At 37.4% G+C, this 26897-nt stretch overlaps 1 protein-coding gene and 1 long non-coding RNA gene across 2 annotated transcripts, besides 2 other annotated features; one reads left to right on the top strand and one right to left on the bottom strand.

Moving 5' to 3' along the window:
• Nucleotides 1-2345: 2345 nt before the first annotated feature.
• Nucleotides 2346-25918, top strand: LOC105375402 (uncharacterized). Its single transcript, XR_927751.3, has 3 exons — nt 2346-2724; nt 23340-23424; nt 24765-25918. It is a non-coding gene; the product is annotated as an uncharacterized LOC105375402 (long non-coding RNA).
• GNG11 (G protein subunit gamma 11) lies at nt 11250-18125 on the bottom strand. Its single transcript, NM_004126.4, has 2 exons — nt 17627-18125; nt 11250-13769 (listed from the first exon to the last, which is right to left on the bottom strand). Exons 1-2 carry the CDS (start codon nt 17720-17722, stop codon nt 13644-13646), a joined length of 222 nt encoding a protein of 73 aa, NP_004117.1. The 5' UTR covers nt 17723-18125; the 3' UTR covers nt 11250-13643.
• Nucleotides 17888-18523: an enhancer, noted in NCBI's record as "H3K27ac-H3K4me1 hESC enhancer chr7:93550649-93551284 (GRCh37/hg19 assembly coordinates)". NCBI's record gives its function as "activates a minimal SCP1, AML or CMV promoter by ChIP-STARR-seq in naive H9 embryonic stem cells {active_cell/tissue: H9 hESC(naive)}" and the evidence as "EXISTENCE:reporter gene assay evidence [ECO:0000049][PMID:30033119]".
• Nucleotides 24322-25521: an enhancer, noted in NCBI's record as "P300/CBP strongly-dependent group 1 enhancer chr7:93543651-93544850 (GRCh37/hg19 assembly coordinates)". NCBI's record gives its function as "activates an origin of replication core promoter dependent on BRD2, BRD4, P300/CBP, MED14 and CDK7 cofactors, with strong dependence on P300/CBP, by STARR-seq in HCT116 cells {active_cell/tissue: HCT116}" and the evidence as "EXISTENCE:reporter gene assay evidence [ECO:0000049][PMID:35650434]".

Below are 26897 nucleotides of genomic sequence, written 5' to 3'. Positions count from 1 at the left end.
TGAAGGTGGGAGGATTTTAAGATAAGCCAGTGCTGGCAGAGATGAAGAGGAAGGAAAGGTAAGGGAAACTCAGCAGCAACTCCAACACTGAAGGGCAAAGACAGTACTGATATTTGATATTTCAGTTAACGATTTATCGCAGAGCAAAAGGTGGTTGTCTTCATATTCTACATTCTGCCCAAGGTGCTGCTTCCCCTGAAAGAGGGTCAGGGTACAGACCTGAGGTGCCTTGGACCTCTGGCTCAGATGATTGATAAAAATAAGTCCTGGTTTAAATAAATCATTTAAGAGCACCAGGGGTCAAGCCCCTGACAATTTATCAGACTTTGAATAAGAAGAAATGAGAGTGAAGCGCATCATTAATCAGCCTACAGAGACGGTATGGGGGTTAGACAAGGCGACGACCTCTCACCCTTCATTACTTGCTTGTACTCAGGAATCCCCCTGCCACACGGTCCCCTATTCTCCGGATTCCCTCCCCCAACAATTCTAAAGAAAATCCTATCATGAACCTCAGGAAGTGTGGGCCAAACTAGCTTTGGGGAACTACAAATGAGTAAATCATAAGAAAAGTTGCTTGGCTCGCTATTAACCAGGGAAATCAGATTTTAAATAGAAATACTTTTAGATATTTAACAGGGAAGAAATGAAGTCAGAACACTTTCAAAGTGATAGTGGAAGTGCACATAAACTAAACGTAAACAGTGCAAGAAATTTTCACAAAGTGAATACAACTCTGTCACGAGGGCTGCCATTCAATACCAAAATATGACCAGCAACCCAGAAGCCCCTTTCATGTTCTCTTTCATACTACACTCCAAAGAGCAGACTCGAGCTTTACTTCTAACACCACAGGTTAGTGTTGCATTAAAAAGTGTAGTCATTTTCTTCAAAATTTTAATACTCTCTAGCTGCAAAATAGAGATCATTAATATCCAAAATTGGTAGATATTACCAACTATACTAAAATACTTTAAAGTAGCACAGTATAATAGAACAGCAGAAAGTATAATATTAGTATTGTAATCACTCAAGTTAGGGAGATTGATACATTCTAAGGTTTAGTGTTAGAAGAGTCATACTCTTAGAACTTGAAGTTGACAGGAGACAAGGAGGAAGAGTGGAGTTGAGGTCTCTGAGCCATACGTTGATGTCACTAAGGAAAAAGTCAGTTGAGCAGGTGACTGCAACCAAAGAGAGAGGAAGGCATAGAGTTCAAGTGTCAATAAGTAAAGGCAACAAGTTGTGATCAGAATATGGCAGTGGGGAGCCCTTCTATCCATTAACATTTTTTTTGGTGGCAGAAGGAGCAGCTTCTTTGAGTGATTGTGATGACAGGGAAAGCTAATGGGAGGAAATGATTGAGAAGATGAGTCAGTTTGATGACTGTGGAGTGGAAGCTAGACAAGGCACAGTGGAGGGTATTCCTAATCTTCTGCAAGTCTCCAACACAGTGAAACAGCAACAAGGTCTAAACTAAAGTCCCAAAGTTATCCCTTTCATATGGGAAAAGGATATAAGCACTTTCCCTGCTAAGGTAAGAGATCCTAACCATGTTTGTCTTGTTGACACTTCTGAGATGAAAAAAGTAGATTGTCACAAGGAGGAGCACAGGAGAGAGCAGCACATACACACAACATTTAAAATTCTATTTTAGAAGGTTATCTGACTCCTGAAACTCATTCATGTAGATCCATGTATATTACAGGTTAAGAACTCTTGGTTCAGGGAAAATGTGTATTTGAGAAAATAGCAAGCCAACTGAGAATATTTATTTAAACAGAGTAAAAACAGGGTGTGGTGAGAAGAGCGCTGTATTTGGAGTTAGAAGTCCTGGTTAGATGCATGCCCATGGCAAGTCCCTTAACCCTGGGGCTTAGTTTGCTCATTTCCAGGATGAAAATAAGTCATGGGGTATAATATGTACTTCTTCCTACTTCTCAGGTTCAAATGAAATAATGTGACTGTGCATAGAAAACATCCAAAAGACCATACAAATAGAAGTCACTATCAGTGTTATGCTTACCTATTACTTGGTTTATGCATTCCCAAGTATCCAGCTTTTACTAGAATATTAAACAAAAGAGGAGCAGGAAAGCATTGTTTTTCTTCCCACTGGTGACCAAATGGGTGAATGTCCTTATCTGTATTCTGTAATCAAGATTGAAAAAATAAGAAAACTGTTTCATCAAAAGGGAGTTTTCCTGTAAAAACTTTTTCCTGAACTGTAAATTATGTAGTCAGAACAGTTCTTTGACTTCAGGTTTAAGTCCATTATAAATAATACTAATAGAAATTATACTCTGCCTATTTTTCCATTTCTTTCTAATTCCAGACATCATCTAGGTATCCTTATTCTAATATGTAAAGGAAAGAAAAGAGAAAATGTTGGGTTGCATTGTATTGTAAATAGCAGTAAAACACTCAGAGACAGCATTATAGCAAATATCTGTTTAAGCAAAGCCCAACCAAATACCTCATTCAGCGGAAATTTTGTTTTAACTTAGCTTTTAGGAAATATAGGAGGTTGAAATTAGCCTAATCAGTTTTTGGCAATAATAATCATGATGATGATGGATATAAAGGATAAGAATGAGAAGAAGTGAGAGAAAGGAGGAGAGAGAATAGAGAAGAAAGAAGAGAAAGAAGAAGAGGAGGATAATGGAGGCAAAGATGGAGAGGAAGAAAACCAAGGTGTCAACAGCAATGTGGAAGACCAAGAAGGTATGTGGGACTTTAACCCTTTACCCTATATCTTATTCATTGTTTCAACCTCTCTTCATTAAGTGTTAATTATGTTGTGTACTGAGGGGAATACAAAAGATATATATTATATATGTGATCCAATTATTTGTTTTTTGTTTGTTTTTTTGTTGTTGTTGTTTCTTTTTTTTTTTTTTTTTTTTTTTTGAGACCGAGTCTCGCTCTGTCACCCAGGCTGGAGTGCAGTGGCGCGATCTTGGCTCACTGCAGGCTCCACCCCCTGGGGTTCACGCCATTCTCCTGCCTCAGCCTCCCGAGTAGCTGGGACTACAGGCGCCCGCCACCTCGCCCGGCTAATTTTTTGTATTTTTAGTAGAGACTGGGTTTCACCGTGTTAGCCAGGATGGTCTCAATCTCCTGACCTCGTGATCCGCCCGTCTCGTCCTCCCAAAGTGCTGGGATTACAGGCGTGAGCCACCGTGCCCGGCCAATTATTTGTTATTTACACATATATCAGGTAACCTGGTGGTTTCAAATGAAAGAAATTCAGCTTCTTTAAAGAAGGAAATGTACAACACCCAAAAGAAACAATATCAAGCAGTGAAAAAAGTAACTCAAGTTGAATCAGATTCCCTGGGTTTGAATCCGTATTCCATCATTGAAAACCTGTATGACCCAGGGAAAATTACCTAAGCTCTTCAAGCCTCAGTTTTGTCACTAATCCTAGTACATATTTTATAAGGTCTTTGTGAGGATAAAATGAGATAATGTGTACAAAGCCTTCAACACAAAGTCAGATACACTCCACAAATGTTGACAAGCAGCATTAAGATGCACAGGAGAAGAAAGAAGCCTCTAAATATGGAAACTACAAACCTAATATTCTCATTGTGGGTTTGCTGCTAATTTGCTCCACAACCTTTATGAAAGCATCTGACTTATGGTTTCCTCACCTATCTTAGAAGGTAAACAGAACACAGTCCATGAGACTGACTTCACTTTTGATACCCATTCAGGTTCAGCATTCCCCAAGACCATCCTTAGAGTCACTAATTCACTAGGACTCACATAACTCACTGAAGGCTTTTATAATCACAGTGGTAGTTCGTTAAAGCCAAACAATACAGATCAAAATCAGCCAAGGGAAGAGATGCATGGAGTGGAGTCCAGGAAAGTTCTGAACATGGAGGTTCCAGTTATCCTCTTTCAGTGGAGTCACGGAAAGCACTACACTTTTGAAAACACTGTGTGACAATGTACATGAACTATGGCCAACCAAGGAAGCTCACCTGAGCCTTGGTATCCAGAGTCTTTACTGGGGCTCCCTGGTCAACTGGTCTCAGCCTCCAGTCTCTCAGATGAAGCTGATACTACATGGCCCTAGAAATCAAACTGGAACTGCATGATAGACTTTCTGCATGGCCCAAAGCCCCAGGTAAACAAAGGCATTCTTGTCACGCAGAACTTTCAAAGGGCTTAGAGGTTACTCCCCAGTGGCCAAGGGCAAAGGCCGGATCTCTCTTTGGGCAAGGTTAATTCATTACTACACACTATCCAAAGCTGGACTCAGTTTCATTGCTCTTGACCAGCAGCCTTCAAACTTCCATGACTGGAGCCTACAAAAAAAAATTGAATATTGACTCAAACACATACATATATTTCATATGATATGTCCTTTTATTCGATGGAATATATGCTGATATTTTACTTCATTTGATTTTATCTTACTCAAAATATTTGTTACATTTCACAAAACTGACCACTAATAATGGGTTCTAATATGTAGTTTGAAAAACACTGATCTAGCGAAGGAGTCAGCAGACTATGGCTGTGGGCCAAATTCAGCCTGCTGCTTGTTTTTATAAAAAATGGTTTTTTTGGAACACAACCACACCCATTGGTTTATGTATTTCATTGCCTGTGGCTGCTTTTATATTAAAGTAGTTGTCACAGAGATGGTAGTCCTGCAAAGGCTAAAATGTTTGCTATCTGGCTCTTTACAGAAAAAGTTTGGCAGCCCCTGAGCTAGTAACACCATTATGATTTATAACTTCAGCAAAATGCATTTATAATATTACCTTACCTCCCTTCCAGTAGATGACAAATGCATAACCTTTTATCTATTTTTTAGTTTATACAAATGCATGATAATGTTATAAATTTTAGATTCCAGACACTCAACTAAATTCTTCAAAGAGAGGTATGTTTTGGAAAATGTCTTTCTAAAAGGGTGAAAAGAATCCCATATTTCCAGGGTCAGCTACCAAGTCAATGGATGCACCAAGGCTATGTAATGCTTTAAGCTCATGATTTGTGTCCTCAAACTTGTGACTATGTTACTTATTAATCAAAAAGTATTAGCAAACTCCTTTTTTAGATAAACTGTACCTTTCACTATAGCAAAATATGAGGAATTATGTGAAAAACTCTCAGCACAGTAAAAGGAAGCAGAAGCCTGAGAAATATTGATCAGGATTACAGAGAAAGAGTTCAGTCTTATTAAGAGAAATGTATTGTTTCAAGGGGAGTAGGATCTTCCAATAAAGGCATGCATCCAAAAAAATATCAATAGGAGTCTCTCTAAAGTCCACGTTCAGACAGAACTGAAACAGAAGCAAATTTGGGGAATGAAGCGTAGATTAAATAGCAAACCCCAATTCTCTGGGCATCTTTCTCATCTCTGCTACCTGAGACCGAATATTAGGAAAAGACTAGAAAGCAAAGAAGACTGTTCCAAAGGTTGAGTTAGGGGTGGGTGGAAGGCAGAGGGGCACAATATATCAGTTTTTGAAATACTAGCAAAATTTGCCTATTGTAGTATTTACCCTCACCAAAGTGACTGACTAGTATTGGGAACAAATGAAAACTTGGTACTCCACTGAGTCTGGCTCTATTAAATATGAATCTTTCAGCATGAAGAGGTGATCAAGCTGCAAGAATTATTTCTACTCAATAACAAAAGACACAAGAGGGATATGATCAGATCCTGCAGTCCTGCTTTCCAGGAATTTATATGTCTATTAGTAAAATTAATTTTTAGGAGGCTGCTTATTTTCCCCTAGGTTAAATTAGGCTTTGCTACATTAGCTGGGAGGGTTTGTCAAGTTCCTGAAACTAATTCATTTTGATGCTTCTCTCATAATAGATTTCAAATCCTCCCCCTACCAATCTTTTTGAATTATTATACATCTGTACACTGACCATCCCCACTTTTTGTGTTTAGCATCAGAACCTTCTAGTTTATCCTAATGGAATATCCTTCAACCCCACTCCCACATATTCCTAGGTCATTCTAATTGGCTTCTACAGCCCATGTTTGAGACAAAATTCCTTATCTAATGAGGTGGATTGATTGCAAATGACCTGAACTTTCCACCCTTCCTTGTATTCATGCTTCTTGCCATGTGAATTTGCAGCTTCCCCACTCAAGAAGGGTCATGTATTTTCCTTCCCCTTGAATATGGGTTGGATTTGAGTCTTGATGTGGGCAATTGAATGCAGTGAAAGTAATGGTGTGCCAGTTCTTTCCGTAGGCCTTCAGACACATTTCACGCTTCTAATCTCTTTTGCTTAGAAGCCTGCCATGCCATGAGAAAAAGCCCAAGGAATCTTGTTGAAGGATGAAAGACACCTGACCCCATCACCCCCTTTGCCCCAAACATCTTCTTGCCAACACCCAACTTACCCGTCAGCTCCAAGCTGATCTACCAGCTGACCACAACTGAGTGAAACCAGCCAAACTCAACAGAGTCAGGCCCAGATAAGCCGGCTGGTAGACTCACAAGCAATAAATGCATTGTTTTCGGTCATTGAATTTGGGGTAATTCATTACTCACAGTGGCTGAAAAGATATTCCAAAGCTTTTTTACCAAAGACAGTGTACTCAATTAATTAGCAAGTTCCTCCTGTTCCTATATAAACTTGATAAATGTCTTCTTGGGCTGCCAAGCTGCACCCAATAAGTTAATTTTTTTCTTCTTAGTTTAATACTTCACAAATTCTTCTGCTTCATTTAAGATACTGTCTATCCTCCTATGAAATGTCACCAGAAGTTAGAAATGTCCTAGTCTTACTGTAATCATTCACTTATTACTCCTTTTTGCAAATAGTTAATCCCCTTACACGTTGTACATAAGATTGGTTTAATTAATTGAACTTAATAAATGTTGCTACCATTTGTTTCAATTGCCAATTCCATTTGTTTCAACTGCCAATACAAAAAAAGATTGGCTGAACTTGTCTATAAAGGGTAACATTTACAGATCTTTGACCCATGTGTTTGGGAAAATTGAAATGAATGGTTTTTAAATGTCTAAATTACTTCCCACCCCAAATTGAAAAATCTAAATAGTAATAAATATTAATTTATTCTACCTCATATCTGCTTTTACATTCAAATATTATATGTAAGCAAAAATCAGTTGGAAACTCAATTGCATACAGTCTTTCAAAGATTTGTGGAAACAAAAAAGAGAAAAGACAAGGCTGGATATTGACAAAGAGCATACACATCCATGTTGTAATGTTCCTCATTGACACATAATTTTAATTATAAGGAAGGAACAATTAACGACAATGGACTTTGAACTGTTCTCAAGTAATCAGTGAACTATATCAATATCAGAGTTTTCAGGTTAAGTTTTCAAATATTGAATATAAGTTTAAATATTTCTCTTCTCTCTTCATTTTTCTCTCTTAGATTAAGACCTGTATAGGTTTCAATACCATTTCAAAAAACTTAATAAGGCAGGACCACTCCCTTTTCTTTCTTTCCTGTACTATATTAAACAGAGCTGTGAAAGTGTAAGTGAATATACAAATTCTTTAGAATAGATATATTTTTATATGTTGATATTTACTTTGATTACTTCCCAAAAGGATGTGAAGCCACTTACCGACAGTGATGAGTGGCAAGAAATGAGTATTTTTTATGGATTTAAAGATCTCTGTTCACAGCCTAGAGAATCAAGCCCATTAACTCCCAAACCAGCTCTGTGAAGTAGATTATTAAAATCATCTGTCTCAGACTGGTGATGAGACAAGAGTGAGATAAAGCTAAAGCCTATGGCTAACGTTATTAAAGAACAATTAAAGAAAACATACGAGTTTTTACAGTGGATCAAATTGATCACTTCTTAGAAAATATTATTTGGTACCCATAAGCAATTCTTTAGAGCTGGTTGACTATCACTTAAAACTCCTTGCAGGGTCTGATTGATTTCTTTTACGCTCTCTTCTGTAATTCATGTAGCTTCTATCAGATAGTTTCTGATGCTAAACTGAGAGATTACGTCATGGAATAAATATGTAAAAAGCTATTTGACATATAATTAGAGTTTACAATCATGTTCATAATAATTTCAAGTTGTGATATGATTTTTATTAAGAAAGCAAAATTCACCCACTTGGTTGGTACAGGTTAAAATTGTTATTATTATATTGGTTCCAGAGCATATGAACCAGGACCAATCACTCTTCTGCCAAGTAGTTATCCTGATTAATCACATCTTTGCACTACTTGATTGGACCTCCCATGACTTGAATCAGCTTGCTATGTACTTAGCATGTTCTACCTTAAACAACCTAGCTCTCTTTCCCAGGGCAGGCTATCTAGGCAGGAACATAGATTTATTACCTACAGTTCTTTTTTTCTAATACTGTTTTTTTAGAACTAGAGTTGTTCTGTTTAAGTCCTTTTACTAGCTCCACTTTTTAAATATAGTTGTTTTATGTCTATTTATATTGAACACTGTATCAGATGGTATTAAATCTTTTGCTTCAGCCATGAAGTATGATTAAATAAACTGACAAGTTCAAGGATAGTCTATAATGTCTGCTTCAATGTTTTATCCTTCATCTTTTATTTTTCCTTTTTCCTGAGAATATATGCATTTTGTTGTTGGCATTTTATTTTTGTTTTGAAAGTTTCCTTTAGCCGTTCTTCAAGAGAAGTTCTGCTAGCAACAAATTCTGTTAATTTTCCTTCATTTGAGAATGTCTATTTCCTCCTAATTCCTGAAGAATCCTTTCACTGATAAAGGATTTAATGTTTACAGCTCTTCTCTTTCAGCATTTAAAAATGTCATGCCTCTTCCTCTGGCCTCTAGAGTTTCTGATGAGGAATCCACTTAATTCAAATTCATCTTCCTTTATGCATAATGGATCATTTATCCCTGGCCTTTTATAAGTTTTTCCTTGGTCATTAGTATTAAAATGTTTAATTATGATGTGTCTAAATGTGAATTATTTCAGGTTTATTATGTTTATAGTTTGCTAAGCTTCTTGAATTTGTAGATTTACATCTTTTATGAAATTCTGTACATTTTTATCCACTACTTTTCTTTTACTACTTTTTCATTCCCACACTCTTCTCCTTTTCTTCCTGGACTCTGATTATGCCAGTGCTAGATCTCTTGTTACTACTCTACGTATTACTGTGGATCTGTTCATTTTTAAAAACCTATCTGCTCTCTGCTGTTCAGATTGAGAAAATCCTATACATTTGTGTTCAGGCCTACTGATTCTATTATCTGTCATCTCCACTCTACTGCTGAGACCATGTATTTACTTGGTAGACATAAATATTGTAAAATTCTACATGAAAAGAGAAAGCCCACATAATAGTCAAAACAATTTTGAAAAAGATGAATAAAGTATGAAGAATCTCTCTTCCTGATGTTACTACCTATTATATCGTGGTAGAAATCAAGACGGTGTGGAGCTGGTAAAGGAATAAATACATAAATGAATAAAATAGAAAAGGACACCTAGAAATAGATTCACACAAATATGCCCAGTTAATTTTTGGCAAAGTAGCAAAAGCAATCAAATGGAGAAGGAATAACCTTTTCAATAAGTGATCCTAGAGCAATTAGACTACTGGCAAAGAAAGAAAGAAAGAAAGAAAGAAAGAAAGAAAGAAGAAAGAAAGGAAGGAAGGAAGGAAGGAAGGAAGGAAGGAAGGAAGGAAGGGGCGAGCAGGCCTATATTTAAACTTCACACCGCATACAAAAATTAACTAAAATGGATTAGAGACCTAAATATAAAACATAAAACAATAAAATTTTTAGAAGAAACACAGGTGAAAGTCTTTGGGATGAGGAATAGATAAATATTTTTTAGACTTGACACCCAAATCTTGATCTATAAGACAAAAAATGGATAAACTGGACCTCATCAAATTGAAAACATCTACTCTGTAAGATTAAAAAAAGCATTAAAAGGTTTAAAAAACAAATTATAGAATAGAAGAAAATATTTACAAATCACATATCTAATAAGGTCTTATATCCCAAATATATAAAGAACCCTCAAAACTCAACATTAAATAAACAAATTAGAAATAAGCAAAACACAAGAATAGACATTTCATCAAAGAGGGTATACACATAGCAAATACACGGAAAATGTTCAAAATCATTAGCTATCAGAGAGATAAAATTAAAACCATAATGAGATATTACTATCCACAATAGCTAAAATGAAAAATAGTGATAACACCAAATATTGATGAAGATGTAGAGAAACTGAGTTGCTCATACATTGCTTATGGGAATGTAAAATGGTACAATCACTGTGGAAAACAGGTTGGTAGTTTTTTTAAAAAGTAAATATAAATTTACCATGGAACCTAGCAAATGTATTCCTAAAAATTTATTCCGGATGAGCAAAGACTTATCTTCATACAAAAATCTGTACATGAATGTTCATAGCACCTCTACTTGCATTAGCAGAGAACTGAAAACAACCCAGACATTCTTTGATGGATAAATTGGTAAACTGTGGCACCTCTGTAGCATAAAATACTACTCAGCAATAAAAAGGAATAAACTATTGATACACACAACCAACTTGGATGAACCTCAAAGAAATTATACTGAATGATAATAGCCAACCTCAAAAGGATAGCTACTGTATGATTTAATTTATGCAGCAGTCGTAACCTAATTATAGAGATGGAGAACAAATTAGTGGTTGCCAGCAAAGGAGGAGAACAGGCATCTTCAAAAGAGAAAATTGACACACACGAAAACTGACTAAAAATCATTGGAAATCAAAGAAATGCAAATTTAGACAATGGTGAGATATTAATTTGCATCTAGCATACAAAAAATTTTGGTCTCACAATACCAAGTGTGGGTGAGCTTTAAGGTAGCTTCTGCCTAGAAATAGAAAAGCCCAATTTTTCTTTCTTCTTTTTTTTTTTTTTTTGAGATGGAGTTTCACTCTGTCACCCAGGCTGGAGTGCAGTGGCGTGATCTCTGCTAACTGCAACCTCCGCCTCCAGGGTTCAAGTGATTCTCCTGCCTCAGCCTCCTGAGTAGCTGGGATTACATGTGTGCGCCACCACACCTGGCTAATTTTTTGTGTATTTTTAAGGAGAGACGGGGTTTCATCATGTTGGTCAGGGTGGTCTCAAATTCCTGACCTCGTGATCTGCCTGCCTCAGCTTCCCAAAGTGCTGGGATTATAGGCGTGAGCCACCCTGCCCGGCCTGATTTTTCTAATTCTATATGAGTTTATAGAACCTAAGTCTCACTACACAATGCATGATAACTATTTTTAATCAAATAGTAAATAATTACACAACTATACACTTTGAATAAATTGGATACATAATTTAAATTCTACTTAACAAATTATCAGTCACCAAAGGTTACATTTACAATATATCTAAATATATAGTGGATGTATTTTTTCTTTTTTAATTACAAGCTAATAATTTTAGCAGTTGAACAGTTGAAAATTAAAATATTTTTATTGCACTTCTACATGTTGGCTGGGTTATAATGATAAATGGTAAGAAAAAGAAACAGAATTATATTTAATAGAAGCACCTATAAGATTAGATATTTATTCAGGAAAAACCAGAAGTCGTCCAACTGATTGATCATATGGTTGAAAGAGACATGAAGAGCAAAAGCTAGGACTTGGGAGTGTACACAAATGGATAGCTGAATGTGCTAATAGAAATCAGGATATAGACTTGTAATCGCAACTCCCAACAAGTTAGGGAATAAATGTATTGTCTTGGCCTTTCATGAAAGAAGCAGGTGATTTAAACTGCCTTGCCAGTAACCGGAATAAATGTTTGCTTTCATAGGCAACAGAAGAAAACTTTATAAGTGCAAAGAAATGAAACAGCTAATAGAAGTAAAACTTTACAGGCACCAAAGCTCTAAAATCCCATGCCATGTTAAATGTTAAATGACTAATAGTACTAATAGTTCTATGCTGTTTGGAAGAAATACACCTTTACTATTCCTAAATCCTTCCTAAGAGTAGTAGATCATACTACTCCTTCCTAGGAGTAGTAGTTTTGGGCTAAAATTATCCCTGGGCTCTCAGTAATGCCAATTGATGTCATCACTTGGACAGTGTCAGGAAACTGAAGGAAATAGTTTCTGCTTTTGGTCTGTGTAAACTATTTTTCAAAAGCCTGGGGTATTCTGTTCTTTCCCAGAGAGGGAAAGGAAAGGAATTTCAGAACGAGGATGCTGATATACTTTAGAAAGCTGCTACAGGTTACAGGCGCCTCTCTCGCTTGATAGTAAGGTATACCTACATGTGTAAGTGGGAGAAAAGAGCTAGTCAAGGAGAAACATTGGCTTCTGGTGCCACATTGAAAATTGCAGGTCAAGTTAATGACTAAGTCCATTTGAGCTAGAGCTAACCAGCAAGGGTTTTTCCACGTTTTTCTTTTGGCTCAAACTTGGAGCAATTTTGACCCAAAAGACGGAGAAGAAGCGGGAGAATGCTCAAGGTGAGAAAGAAAGGTCCCTTTTTGTGAGGTTTGGGCTTCAGGTACCTTTGTTATGAACTTGAGCAGGAGTTATACTCTGACGTGTTGCCCTGCAGGATAAAACCACTGAAGGGAAGGTCACTGTGAAAAGGTAAGCCACAGACTGGGAGAAGGTATTCGCAACACATATCACCAAACACGAATAAATGGCCAGAATATATGAAGAATTCCTACAAATCAGTAAGAAAAAGACCAACTAATCTTTAAAGTGGGCAAAGATTCACTGGTTCCTTTGGAGGAGAAGAAAAAAAGGCATGTTTGGCCCAGGCCTGCTGGAAAATGCTGGCAAGCATGAGTGCAGAGGTCCAAGTGTCTGCACCAATGCCACAGAACTGGAGTAGTGCCATGCCCAAGACCTGGAGAGCACATGGGAGATGTAGCTCTGTGCAGGAATAAGTACTGGCTCTCAAAGCCAGGGCTGGCCTGGCCACTACACGGCAGAGAGGCAGGGCACTCTTCCTGAACCCCAACTCAGTATTTTCTTCAAGGCTACTACTACAGGAACACTATTAAGAAGATCTAAATGATGATAAACTAGGGAAGTACTAACATAGATGTGGCTTGGCCTTGTTCCTGACTCAGATAATCTGACTTCTGTCAATGTTATAGGAATTCTACCTGCTCAGTTTCTTAATAGTTAAGGTTAGATCAAACACGTTCCAGAGGTCAGAACTCAGCACTCTAAACCATTGACGCAGGGTTTGGAGATGTGATCTGTCGAACCACCTAACCTTCTGAATCATATTCCAAACCCAATCATACTCCACACCCAAAAGATTACGGGGAGAAATATAAAAGTTAATGCATGAAAAGTGTCTTCTTAAATCACCAACACTCATCTTCCCAAGACAAAACTTTATTTGAAGCATCAAGCAATATACTGAAAGAAGTGTCATGCTCAAGTAATGTTCTTATTTCCATAATTGTACATCTGATACTCTCTGCTCTCTTAAAAAAGACTGCATAGTGAGCAAAGATGAGTAGCACATATGCTTTTATACATAACCCTATCTATATGGTGCTTAAGAAAGTCTCCTTTTAATTTCATTCTTCCTTCCTTAAAAAGCATGTTGGTTTTATCTGGGAAAACTAAAACAAACTAGTTCTTCCACTTAGGATGCAGTTTCTCCCAAGTTATTTATGAAATAACACAGCTGCCTTTTTCTTTAAAGGGGTTCTTGTCTTCTGGAATTCCCTTTACTAGAGGATCCTCTCCAGAACGTTCTTCAATATAGTTCTTTATTTCTTCAGAACATTTAGACACCTTAAGTATAGAAAAAAAAGAGAATACATTAGGTTAGGGTTGTTTAAACTTTGTCCCTACGCCTTAATGAAATAAGTATAATTGAATACAATAAGTTTTTAAACATTTTTTTACATTTACATATATATGTGCATGTGTGTGTGTATATATTATATATATAATACATATATAAAATCTGGGCTCTGCACTCTAATATTTTTATTCTATTACTATACCTATGATGCAACCTATGTAAAATATATTTCTTACTGTTGGTCGTTGGTCAAATTAAAAAATGTTTGAAAGTCACTGCATTAAATAAATCATCTCCAGCAGTTTTTTTCCATTGTGTCTCATATGATTTCCTTCCTCTGCTAAAATACAATTATGCCATGTCTACAATATTTTAGGAACTGAAATATACTCTTATTTTAATTTTCCATGCTAGTGAGCAGGTGCAGTAGTAGATAATCCCCAAATGTTTTGGGGTGTGTAATGCCACGATTCTCACTTATGGGTGTGTGCCATGTTCTGAAATTTCACGAAATGATAGAAGCTTTGGAAAAAGCCTGATTCTGGAAAGATTGGAATTGTCCAAATATCGCACTCTGTGTTGCTCCTCAGAATTTCTTCCTGCTGCATGAGGGCAATGATCATAATAAAAGACTTATCTGAGACTTATTAGGCTTATCTGAGAATAAATTTTTTTCTGAGATGGAGAAAAAATTGAATAGTGTCTTCAAAAAGTCTATTCTTAAAAGAAGAGTTTCTTCAAAAAGTCTATCTATCCTTAAAAGACAGGTTGCAAGAATGAATTAAAAAAAGAATAAAAACAAAAGAAAAGAAATTAGGGTTTTAATGAAGGCCTGTATTGCTAGTAAGAAATTTAAAGTAAAAATTACAGAAGTACCAGCAAATTTAATTTAATTTAATTATTTATTTCTTTTTGAGATGGAGTCTTGCTCTATTGCCCAGGCTGGAGTGCAGTGGCAGGATCTCGGCTCACTGCAAGCTCCGCCTCCCGGATTCTAGCCATTCTCCTGCCTCAGCCTCCCAAGTAGCTGGGACTACAGGCGCCCACCACCACGCCTGGCTAATTTTTTGTATTTTTAGTAGAGACGGGGTTTCACCACGTTAGCCAGCATGGTCTTGATCTCCTGACCTCGTGATCCGCCCGCCTTGGCCTCCCAAAGTGCTGGGATTACAGGCGTGGGACACCGCGCCAGGCCGCACCAGCAAATTTAAATGGAGACCTATGAAAACTGGGCAAATGTTCCCATTGAATTAGTAATCTAAATTAGTAACCTCAAACTGTTTTAACGGTTACTACTAAAACATGTTTGCATGTGTATCCCAAAATGAATATAATTTTTAACTACAAATAAGTACAGACACTGCTTTGTTAATACATCATGCAAAATTATAAAACATAAACTGGAAATTATAAATGGGTGAGGTTTAAAACTAAACAGAAATAGCAATGTTAACATTTTACTTCCACACCCCAAATGATTATCCTCTGCAAATCAGTGTGGAAGCCTCTGACCTCAAATTGAAAACTAGGTGATGTAGTTGTGTGACTTAAAATCTGGCAAAATAAAATCTTTCAAATACAATTCTTTCAGGTAACATTTGCTCTCGTTTGTTGACATTCAGAGTGCATGCATTTTAAGTGAATTTTTAGAGTTGATAATGCACGTGTCATAATTTAGGGTCTGTCGTCCCAGGTTAATTTCTCAGCAAGATACATGCTCCCTACATTGAATCTTTTCTTACAAGGTTTTTTCATTAGGTTTCAGAAGAGGTCTGTAACCTCCAAATGTGAGTAATTGCTCCTCTGATACATTTCCTTCCATAATCAAGAGGACATGTTTGATAAACATTTAACTACAGCCAGAATGCAACTTGCAAGTTTTGTCTGGGCCTAAGTTAAGGACTGAACACGTAGCCCAGATGTTAACTATTTATTGACTGAATAATGGACTGGGAATGAGAAGAAGAATGTTTTAGTACCTGCCCTATCACTATCTATCTCTGTGGTCTTAAATGTGGAGCTAGTTAGCCTTTGTGGGACTCAAGTTTTTTTTAATCCTTAAAGTGAGGGAGATGAATGATCTCTAAACATTCCAATGCTTGCCTAGCAATAATAATGTATAATTCCAAGTGTATAATCAAATGTCTTAATATTATTGTTGAGATTTAGATGCCTCTTTCTGTATTTCCTAAGGTTACATATATCCAAAGTTTTTTCTCCCTCTGGCATACACTTGAGGTTTCTGGAGGTGGGAAGTTGATGCCACAGGCCGTGTCCTAAAGGGTCAGGCTGGCTAGCAGGGAGAAACTGCTAATGAATGATACAGTCAATTTTTACATAGTCGGTTGCATCCACATCACTTAACTTAAAACTCTGAGTAAGTAGAAGACGCTTGTCTTTTTTCCTAAGTTCTACACAGTGATACCAAATATTAAGATATTAGAACCTTGCATAGACAATGCTGTACTTCAGCATATGAAACTCTGTTTAATATGTAACTCCTAAGGTTTATTGTGTGAACATATCTAAGTGGCCAGCACTTGCTGTACTGGGAACTTCGCCATCCATAAAATGGGTCCCTTAAGGTTTCAAGAAGCGTGCTTATTGATTGGGTAGTGTAACTTCCTTTTTTTCCCCTTTAAACGCGTTGGTGTTTTTAAAGCTACAAACCCTTAACATGATAGAAGGGACAGCTCATTATAAAAGCTAGGAAGAGCCGGGATTTGGATGTGAAAGGTTAAATTTGAGAAAAGAAATATGTAAAAAGTAAAACACAAAAATGCCTGCATCTTCTAATCATCACTCAACAGTGAAGACTCTTGCCCTTAACAGATTTATTATAACTAGAACAGGAAGGCAAGTGAGCATATTATAACGCTTCATTTCCATTGTTTTTCTTAATTTTTTCTAGTGCTAAACCATAATAAATAAGATCAGTTCAAAATTTTCTTGCTGAAGAGGAAAGGTTAATTATCTTTAAACAATATCTATTCAAAGACCTTTCCTAGTCTACAGGATGCCTGATTGAGTTAAAACAGGAAGAGGGATTAGTGTCTGAAGGAAGGTCTTGATGACCAGTAAGAAATTGAAGTAAAACTTATAAAACTCCCGAGACGTTTCAGTGGAGAATATTGAATACTGGGTCATATGTTCTCAATGAAATGGTAATCTCTATCAATAGTCTCTAAAACTTTAAAATTGTGATCACTAAAAAAATTTTTCATATGCACCACAGTGTATGTATAATTATTTATAAATAAGTACAGATACTACTGTATTAATCGCATACTAATAAAACATAAAGTGAAAATTATAAAGGGATGAGATTTACAAATAAATATAGAAATTCTAATATTTTGTTCCCAAATTTCGGTGGACTGTTCTTTGCATATCACTGAAGGCCACTGGTGAAATTCAAAATTAAATAATGTACTTGTAAGACTTTAAAATACGGTTTTAGAAAATTTCTTTCAAATATCATCCTTTCTAGTAGTGTAAAAGATCAAAGAACCAAGTAGCTATCCGCTTTTTTCCTACAAGTGAGTTTTGAAAAACAGCTGTCTAATGGAAAGCAAGATTTCTTGTCTATTTTCCCCTTCCTAGGCATCTTAAAAGTTAGGACATTTGGCCTTAAATTACTTATCAGATCCTTGCTCCCTCCTCTACCTCCTAGGATTTCCCCACATCAGCTGGCAGTCCCCAGGCACTGCCAAAGGGTGGTGAGAAGAGAAGCTACAAAAAGGGGGAAAAATAAGCTAAACTATTTGCTTTACTGTTACTAAGCAGGAAAAATCGGACCCTGCTTCATTTCAGAGAAGGAAATATTCCGGAACAGCCAACTTACTTGTTGTCTCTGCAACTTCACTTCTTTGCGAAGCTGCTCAACTTCCATTTTCAGTTTTTCCTTCTCTGGCAAATCTTCGATGTGAAGGGCAGGCATTTTCGCCCCAGAACCGGGCTCGGGCTAGCTCTGGCAGCGGAGCCGCTGGAAGAGCGGCGAAGCTCGGCGCGTCCCGAAACAACTGAAGGCCTGGCCCGCCGCCCACCCGCGCAGGATGTGACTGCAGCCCTGCTGCGGTCCCCAGCTCCCCGAGGGCTTGGCTTTCTCCGGGACGCTTGTCACGCCAGCGTGCCCCAGCTTCCTAGGACCTGAGAACTCTGCCTTTTCTCAAGTCCCTGCAACCCAGGAGGCCTGCCCGGGTGCTAGATGAGGGTTAAGTTTGAGACTGGGTCCAAGCAGCTTCCCGCTGCTCAATCGCCCAGCAGGGATGCTGGCCACGGACAGGCCCTGACTCAGGACCTGCCACGCCCGCGGGGGACGGCTGGGCTGGGGCTGCAGGACTGGGAACAGCAGAAGTTTTACTTTGTGTTCTCCGCGCACCCCCGCTCCTTTTTTTTTTTCCGTTTCCAAGTCACATCCGGGTTTTGTTTGTGAAGCTAGGAAAAGGAGTACACTACCCAGCAGGAAATAACTACCCTTCACCTCTCAAAGAGTTTTAAAAATATGCTAGATATAGCTTTTCCCTAATTACATACATAGGTTGTTGCAAAAGTAATTACTTTTCTCTAATTACATATATAGGTTGGTGCAATTAGTTTTGCACCAACGTAATAAATGCATAGTGGAGAATGCGGACGCTTAAGAAAAGGCTGAAAAGAAAATGAAGCTTAGCCCTAATCCCAGAAATACCCACCAGTGTTCTGCTCATTTGTGTCCATCCGGCTTGTTCGAGGCCTAATATGGGTTTATACATTTTGGGCGAGGAGGGGGCAACAGGGTGTGAATATCGTTTACAAGTTGCAAGAACATTTTCTATTATTAAATAATCATCTGCATCCTCAACAGCAGCAGAGTTTGTATTTTTTTTATTTTTCCGGGGGAATGTTATGTAGAGGGGTGCATCAAAGGATGATATAAGAGAAGACAGAAGCAGGAATCTTAGAGTTCTTAACCGAAAGCCTTTCTCCACTCCCCAACCCTAAGTTTTGGGTGACACTTGACACCAAGGATTTTGAATTCCTGGCTCCTGAACCTTCCTGGATGTAGGCAGTGGATTCATTTAGTATTAGTTTCTCCACTTTCTGGCAAGCACTATTTATCTAGCTGTTGCTCTGGAAAGCCAGGAAAAGTGTCCGATGTGAAAAAAGTTTACATGCAATAAAACTTTCCCTTTAACTGTAACTAAAGTCTTGTTGATGGTGGTCAAAAGAGTAGAAGAAAAATCAAACATGAATGTAAGAAACCTTCCCTAGCAGTTGGATATTTCTCTTTCTTTCCAGAGATAACCTCCTGCCTCACAGAGTCAAAGGCAAGTGAAATATTAACTTAATATTTCAGAGTAGCTGACCCAAGACACCCATGACCATTCCCTGTTTAGGAAGCAGGAGTTTTTGTTCGTTCCTAGTTTCTTACCACGCTCCGCTCAACCTCAATGAATAAATTAGAATGAAAAAAACAATGAACCACTTAATGAATACTCCTGGCGTGTAGTTGCAGCTCTGCCACAGGCCATCACTGAAGAAGTCATTTAATTTTTCTTAGTTTTGGTTTTCTAATTTGTAAAATGTATAGTAAGGCAGGGAAGTAGTGAATCAGCTAAGCTATGTTGTGTCTCTAATTGTGTTGGTATGTCTATATATGATAAATCATTTTCACAAAGAAAATGTTTAAGAGCTTCACTTTCAATATTTGAAATACCAGGGTTTTCCAAGCTCAGAGTAGTTAGAGCATCTACTGAAGTTTACTTGTAAATAAGCAGGGAGACTAGACAAATGTCCATATCTGTCTTGTGCACTAATTCATTTTTAAAATTTTCTATTACTTAAATTTAAAAGGTTGGTCAAAAATACCTTAAATTAGTGAAAGTAATCAACGTGAATGTGGCCTAAATTAAATAGGTTCAGCACCTAAGTTAAATAAATTGGTTAAATAAATTATTGTGTTTTTGTTCTTTTTTTTGTTTTTTTGTTTTTTTGTTTTTTTTTTTTTGAGACGGAGTCTCGCTCTGTCGCCCAGGCTGGAGTGACTGGCACGATCTCCGCTCACTGCAAGCTCCGCCTCCCGGGTTCACGCCATTCTCCCGCCTGAGCCTCCGGAGGAGCTGGGACTACAGGCGCCCGCTACCACGCCTGACTAATTTTTTGTTAATGTGTGTTTGTTCTAAGTCATAAAAATATAATTATTTTGGCTTTGAAGTTTCTTTCCCATGAAATCATCTAGTTGCTTAGAGGGATAAATACTTATAAGCCCATATTGGTTCTTTAACTTTTCCCATCGTATTATGAGACGTATTAGAAACAAAATACTTGTTAGTCTTTTTTATTGTTATTAAATAATTCATATTCTAATATCTTAAGTAAATTGATTAAACTGAAGTGAATTGCAAAATGTTGAAATTGCATGATCACACAGGATTCTGAAAAAGGTTTTATTGTTGCTGGTTTCCTGTTTGTTTGTTTGTTTGTTTGAGACGGGGTCTTGCTCTGTCACCCAGGCTGGAGTGCAGTGGCGCGATCTCGGCTCTCTGCAAGCTACGCCTCCTGGGTTCACGTTATTCTCCTGCCTCAGCCTCCCAAGTAGCTGGGACTACAGGCGCCCACCACCACGCCCAGCTAATTTTTTTGTATTTTTAGTAGGGACGGGGTTTCGCTGTGTTAGCCAGGATGGTCTCGATCTGCTGACCTCGTGATCCGCCCGCCTCGGCCTCCCAAAGTGCTGGGATTACAGGCGTGAGCCACCGCGCCTGGCCCTGTTTGGTTTTAAATAGTAAAATGATGAGAATATTTTTTTTTAAACAAAAGGATGTGTAGTCTTCTATGCCTAGACACCGAATTTACCTCCCAGAGAAGAACCATGTTAAGCAATTTCTCATGTATACTTGCAGAAATAGTTTATCAGCAATATTCAAAAATTTTGAATAAATAAATTTTAAAATTTGTTTAGCTGTGTCCAAATGTTTTGTTAGGTTTTTACTTATATTTTACATAGTACCCCGGTAAAATTTATTTTACAAGTAGTATGAGTAGAAACCATTCTTTAGTAAAAATGACAGGTGCAACCAGCAATGAACTTTGATTAATTAGCCCACTGTCGTTTCACAAATGTTTTATAGAAATTAGTTAATAAAAATAAAAGTAACCATTTTCACTTTTAAATTATAAAAGAGTAACAACCATGAAATTTTTACTTTGGTATGCAAAAATAGGAAAAACAAGGTTTTGACAATTTTTGTGATTTGTTATGTTGTTAAAAATCTATATAAAGAAAAATAAAACATTGAAGGCAGTTAAACTGGAATTGAGCTAATACTAACTTGAACTCAAAAAAGATCAGGATTCTGGTCTTATTTTATCTTGTGATTTTTGCAAGAAACACATTATTTCTGCTTTTTTATTTCGTGTAAGTAAACTAGGTTACCTTTCAAAGTCTGCTCTTCTAAAATTTATAGAGTGACTTTGAGAGGCCGATACAGGAGGATCACTTGAGACCAAAGGTTCAGGAGTTTGAGACCAGCCTAGGCAACATACCGAGACCCCGGTCTCTACAAAAAAATAAATAAATATAAATAAATAAATAAATAAATTTAAAAAGTGCATAGTAACTGTTTTGACCATTGAAATTATGGTTTCTTTAAAGAAAGTACACTTCAGACGCTCTTGGTTCATTTGATATTTGTTTTAATCTGTTAAAACAATCATGAGGCAATTTTCAGGAGCTCATTTGTTTCCTGTAACTACCTACCTAAGATTCCTTTTCTTTTTTTTTTTTTTTTCTTGGGCAGGGGAAGGAGTTTAACTCTTGTTGCCCAGGCTGGAGTGCAATGGCGCGATCTCTGCTCACTGCAACCTCCGCCTTCCGGGTTCAAGTGATTCTGCTGCCTCAGCCTCCCGAGTAGCTGGGATTACAGGCGTGTGTCACCACAGCCAGCTAATTTTGTTTTTCTTTTTTTCTTTTCTTTTTTAGTAGAGACGGGGTTTCACCATGTTGGCCAGGCTGGTCTCAAACTCCTGATCTCAGGTAATCCTCCCACCTAGGACTCCCAAAGTGCTGGGATTACAGGCGTGAGCCACTGCACCCAGCCCTAAGATTCCTTTTCTAGATGAAGAGAATGCCAAGTCAAAGGATGATCTGTGTCTGATGCTCTGAGTATCTTAGCAACTACTTATAATTCAGGATATCAAAATGATTTCTCTGGCTGGGAGTGGTGGCTCTCACCTGTAATCCCAGCACTTTGGGAGGCTGAGGCAGGAGGCTCACATGAGGTCAAGAGTTCGAGACCAGCCTGGCCAGAATGATGAAATCCCTTCTCTACTGAAAAAAAAAAAAAAAAAAATAGCCAGGTGTGGTGGCATGAAATTGCTTGAACCCAGGAGGCAGAGATTGCAGTGAGCCAAGATCGTACCACTGCACTCCAGCCTGGGCGAGAGAGTAAGACTCCATCTCAAAAAAATAAAATAAAATAAAATACAAATAAAAATAAATGATTTCTCTTACCAATTTTGTTTCTATATTACTTTAACTCCCATCATATATAACTGATCATTCTCATTACTTAGTTTACTATTTTCCTCATGTAAACACATTATTGAGGCATTTAGGAAGTTTGATCCAATATAAACTTTTATAAGCACCACTCTTGCCTGCTTTTAAAGTCAATTACATTGTCCAGACAATTTGTTAGTTGATATGACACTTTTCAAAGATGAACAGTGCTTCTGACTTGGGAAATCTCCAATGTAGTACTGAAATTAAAACAACCGTAGAAATTATAATGAGAAAAAGTAAAGTAACGTTAAATGACTTAAGAGACACACAAAATACTCTTGAGGTAGAATGGGAGAGATAGTCTCATAAGAAGAGTAGGATTTCAAAAGGCTGAAATGGGGTGGAGTGGAGGGAGATCTCAGGTGGAGGGATCAGTATGACCAAATTCCAGGTGGTGGGAAAATGTCCACGGGAAGTATAATAATAGAGGACATTTGTTAGGCTTCTTTCTATGTACCCGTTTCTGATCTAAGAGATTATAAGTATTCAGATAATCTAGCCTAATCACTAATTTTATATATAAAAAAAAACAGATTCAAAAAGTTCACGTCATTTGTCCAAGTTCTCAATGACAAGGTGGAAGAGTCAGGGTTTTAATTTTGAATTGTTGGGCTGCAAACTTTGTCTCCAATGGTAAACTGAAAGTTAGAGATGTTGGTTAGGACCATCTTCTACAGGTTACTGAATGCCATAGCATGTACTTACTTTGTATTTATTTTAATCAGAGAAAGGGAGATATACTGAACACTTCACTAAATAAATACTAACTTGCAGGTGGAAAACTTCTAGAGACAAACCACAATTAAATAAACAAATAAATTGTAGTATGCCAGGTGGTGATGGTGCTACGGGGGAAAATAGACTGAGAGAGAGAGACAGGAAGCGCTTGGTGGAGGTTGGGAGGACTGTATGGAGAGGGTTTTGTAAATTTAAATAGGAGGATAAAAAGCTTTTCTTGAGGAAAAATAGATAAGACATTCAGTAACTAATCCCAGAATCCCTTAATACTCAGAGCACATTTGATGAAGACACGTGGTGGGGTGTGTTGCTGACTGTTCAGCCAGAAGCCCAGAGTCTTGACCGAAGAAATTTGTCAGGTGACTTCTCTGAAACTTTATTTTCTCCATTTCAAAATGAAGAGTTTAGACAAGAGTCAACAGATATTTGTTGAGCATTTATGATGATCAGAGTGGGAGGGCATTGTGCTAGAAGCCAAACTTTGGTACAACTTTCAGACTCCCTTCCAGACCAAATAATAGATAATTTTAATGTTTTTTTTTAAAGTGTGACAATCAATTAGTATTTCTGAGTATTCTGATCACTGAAGTATACAAAATAGCACTGTAAATGTGAGACAGCAACAAGAAAACACTGACCACAAAAGTGGTTACTGATTTAGGTAATTACAACTTGTCATTTGTTACAGAAGCAGAGGCAAGTTTTCTCTTAGTCATTAACACAATGGTAGTGAAATGTGACTCATGTAAACTCAACAGGATGCCAGAAGGACCTGATGTAGGTGATGGAGATTTCTCTCTCATGTGTGCTCACCTTGTTAAAGAAAAGACTGTGGTGTTGAGTCTTCATGATGATAGGGTAAAATAGCATGTTTCTTAAAGCACTTTAGAAATTTTGTCTAGATCCTTTCTCAGTAATAATACTAGTTAACACTTATTGTATCTTACCATGGACCAGGTAATATGCTGAGTGTTATAGTTGCATTAGTGTATTACTTAACCCCTACACAAAACAGAAGATATAACCATTATTGTCTTCATCCTATGCTAGGAGAAACAAATTTAGAAAGAATTAAGTAGCTTATCCAAAGTGAGTTGGGCAGTAAAGTGGCAGAGCCAGAACTGTCTGGCTCCTAAGTGCATGCTTATAACCGTGATTCTGCTGCTGGTTAAATTCACCGTGCTCCGTGACCACAGACTGAACCCTCAACCCAGTTGGCATTCTGGGGAAAAGTCACAAGATAGGTGAACTGCATATCAGAAAAATAAGCTTCCTAATTCCATAAGCAAGAGAAAGTTTGGGAAAGAAAACAGAAATTTAACCACAAAATTTCTGGGTAGAAAGTTATAAGTATTGAAAGGGAAGTGAAAAAACATAAAACAGTAAATATATGCTGACAACTCAGAATAATATAGAATCATTTATAAAACATAGTTCTTTTTAAAGAACTTTAAGCAATATTTTTTTGGCAATTATGTGTTAAACCCTGTGCCAGCTATGTTAAGAAAAACATAGAATGATGGGTTACCACACCCCAATTTTTATTAAAAGTTTACATCTATAAATTTAAAAATTCATGTACATGCATAGTAGTAGCATTATGTGTGAAAAAAATCCATATTGTTGTTAACGTTTGAGATATTTCCAAGAATTTGTTTAATTTTTTTTCTTTTTTTTTTGGTATTTTGAAATCACACAGCCTCCTTTGAGCTCTTTGAAGGGATTTTTGTCCTCTGGGATGCCCTTTACCAGTGGATCCTTGCCAGATCATTCTTCAACGTAATCTCTTCTTCACAACATTTGGATACCTTAAGGGGAAGGAAAAACGGATGACTCATTTGGTTTAAAACAGAATACTCCAGATGCCAAGAATTTATTTACTGCAATAAGTTTTCAGGTCGTATAATTTCAGTTTGATTCTCTCTGCTTTCCACCAATGCATACGTACTTTGTAGGAAAGAAGAAAGTTGCACCCTTCCCACTCCTTCTGGATATATCTCCAGACAAAGGAAAAACAGCTGGCCATGCTCCAGCTAAAGATTCCCCGTAGACACTGCCTCCAACATCAAAGGAGACAAGACCCAGGAATCAGAACACAACTGGCAACGGAAGTCAAGAATGTCATCAGATTTCATACTGATTAAATCTTTTTCCTCATTCCAAAAATGTGACTCGTAAAGGTGGAAGAGAATAATTATTAAATTCCAGGCTTATCATCATCCCTAAATTCTCAGAAGTATATACATGGCGTGATCTCCACTCACTGCAACCTCCATCCTCCACCTTCTGGGTTCAAGTGATTCTCCTGCCTCAGCCTCCTGAGTAGCTGGAATTAGAGGCACACGCCACCATGCCCAGCTAATTTTGTATATTTAAGTTTGTTTTTGTTTTGGTAGAGACAGGGTTCACCATGTTGGCCAGGCTGGTCTCGAACTGCTGATCTCAGGTGATCCTCCCATTTAGGCCTCCCAAAGTGCTGAGATTACAGGCATGAGCCACTGCACCTGACCCTAAGATTCCTTTTCTAGATGAAGAGAATGCCAAGTCAAAAGATGAACTGTGTCTGATGCTCTGAGTATCTTAGCAACTACTTATAATTCATGGTATCAGAATGATTTCTCCGGTGAGGAGTGGTGGCTCAGGCCTGTAATATCAGTACTTTGGGAGGTCGAGGCGGGAGGATCACTTGAGGTTAGGAGTTTGAGACCAGCCTGGCCAACATGGCAAAACCTCTTCTTTACTAAAAATACAAAAAGAGTTAGCCGGGCGTGGTGGGACTGAATTACTTGAACCAGGGAGGCAGAGGTTGCAAGTGAGTCAAGATCGTACCGCTGCACTCCAGCCTGCGTGAGAGAGTGAGACTCTTGTCTCAAAAGAATAAAATAAAATAAAAAATAAAAAAACAGATTTCCCTCACCATTTTTTTCTGTAAGACTTTAACTCCCATCATACATAATTGATCATTCTCATTACTCAGTTTACTATTTTCCTCATGTTAACTCATATTTTAGTAATTTAGGAAGATTGATATTAGCTTGGTTTTAAAATTTGGCTAAAATAAAACCAGTACAAATTAAAACAACAGTGAGGTGTTTTCTTTTCTTTTTTCTTTTTCTTACTAAAGCTTACACTCATCTATGTGTGCAAAATATGTTTAAAGTCCAAGTAGCTCAAATGATATATTGTAGTATCTATAATAACTCATTCTCATTAATGACACCAGAAAATTTTGTTAAAGAGTCACATGTTAAGGTTGTGTGGGAGTGGTTTTTGTTGCCTTGTAGTCTTACTTCATTTTCTTTAACCTAGTTATCCCAGTCCTGAAATAACAAATTCTGAACAAACCAAAGTCACTGACAGTTATAGCTCTGTAGCCTGTGGGACAGTCATGATTTCATTTCCTTCTTCCTGGACCATCTTTCTCTATACTTCCTTCCTGTGATTTCTCTCTTACTCAAAACCTGCTGACAATCTGTGTTTTAAGCAACAGGAATTGTCCCCTACTGGTGATTTAATCATGAATTAAGTCAATAAGAATTCTGAATTATCCAATATAAACATTTTATAAGCACTATTCTTGCCTGCTTTTAAAGTCAATTTCATTGTCCAGACAATTTGTTAGTTGATATGACAGTTTCAAAGATGAACAGATCTTCTGGCTTGGGAAATTTCCAATACAGCACTGAAATTAAGACAACCATAGAAATTATAATAAGAGAAAGTAAAGTAATGTTAAATGACTTAAGAGATACACAAAATACTCTTGAGGTAGATTGGGAGAGAAAGTCTCATAGAAGAGTAGGATTTCAAAAGGCTGAAAATGGGGTGGGGT

This window comes from Homo sapiens, chromosome 7 (genome assembly GCF_000001405.40).
Source record: "Homo sapiens chromosome 7, GRCh38.p14 Primary Assembly".
Lineage (NCBI taxonomy): Eukaryota > Metazoa > Chordata > Mammalia > Primates > Hominidae > Homo > Homo sapiens.
The sequence above is the reverse complement of the archived record's forward strand: the minus strand, read 5'-3'. Positions and strand labels throughout refer to the sequence as shown.

Coding starts and splice junctions, on each gene's coding strand:
- GNG11 (NM_004126.4), bottom strand. CDS start 17,722: ATGCCTGCCCTTCACATCGAAGATTTGCCAGAGAAGGAAAAACTGAAA. Junction 13,770..17,626: donor TGAAGTTGCAGAGACAACAA/GTAAGTTGGCTG, acceptor TCTATACTTAAG/GTGTCTAAATGTTCTGAAGA.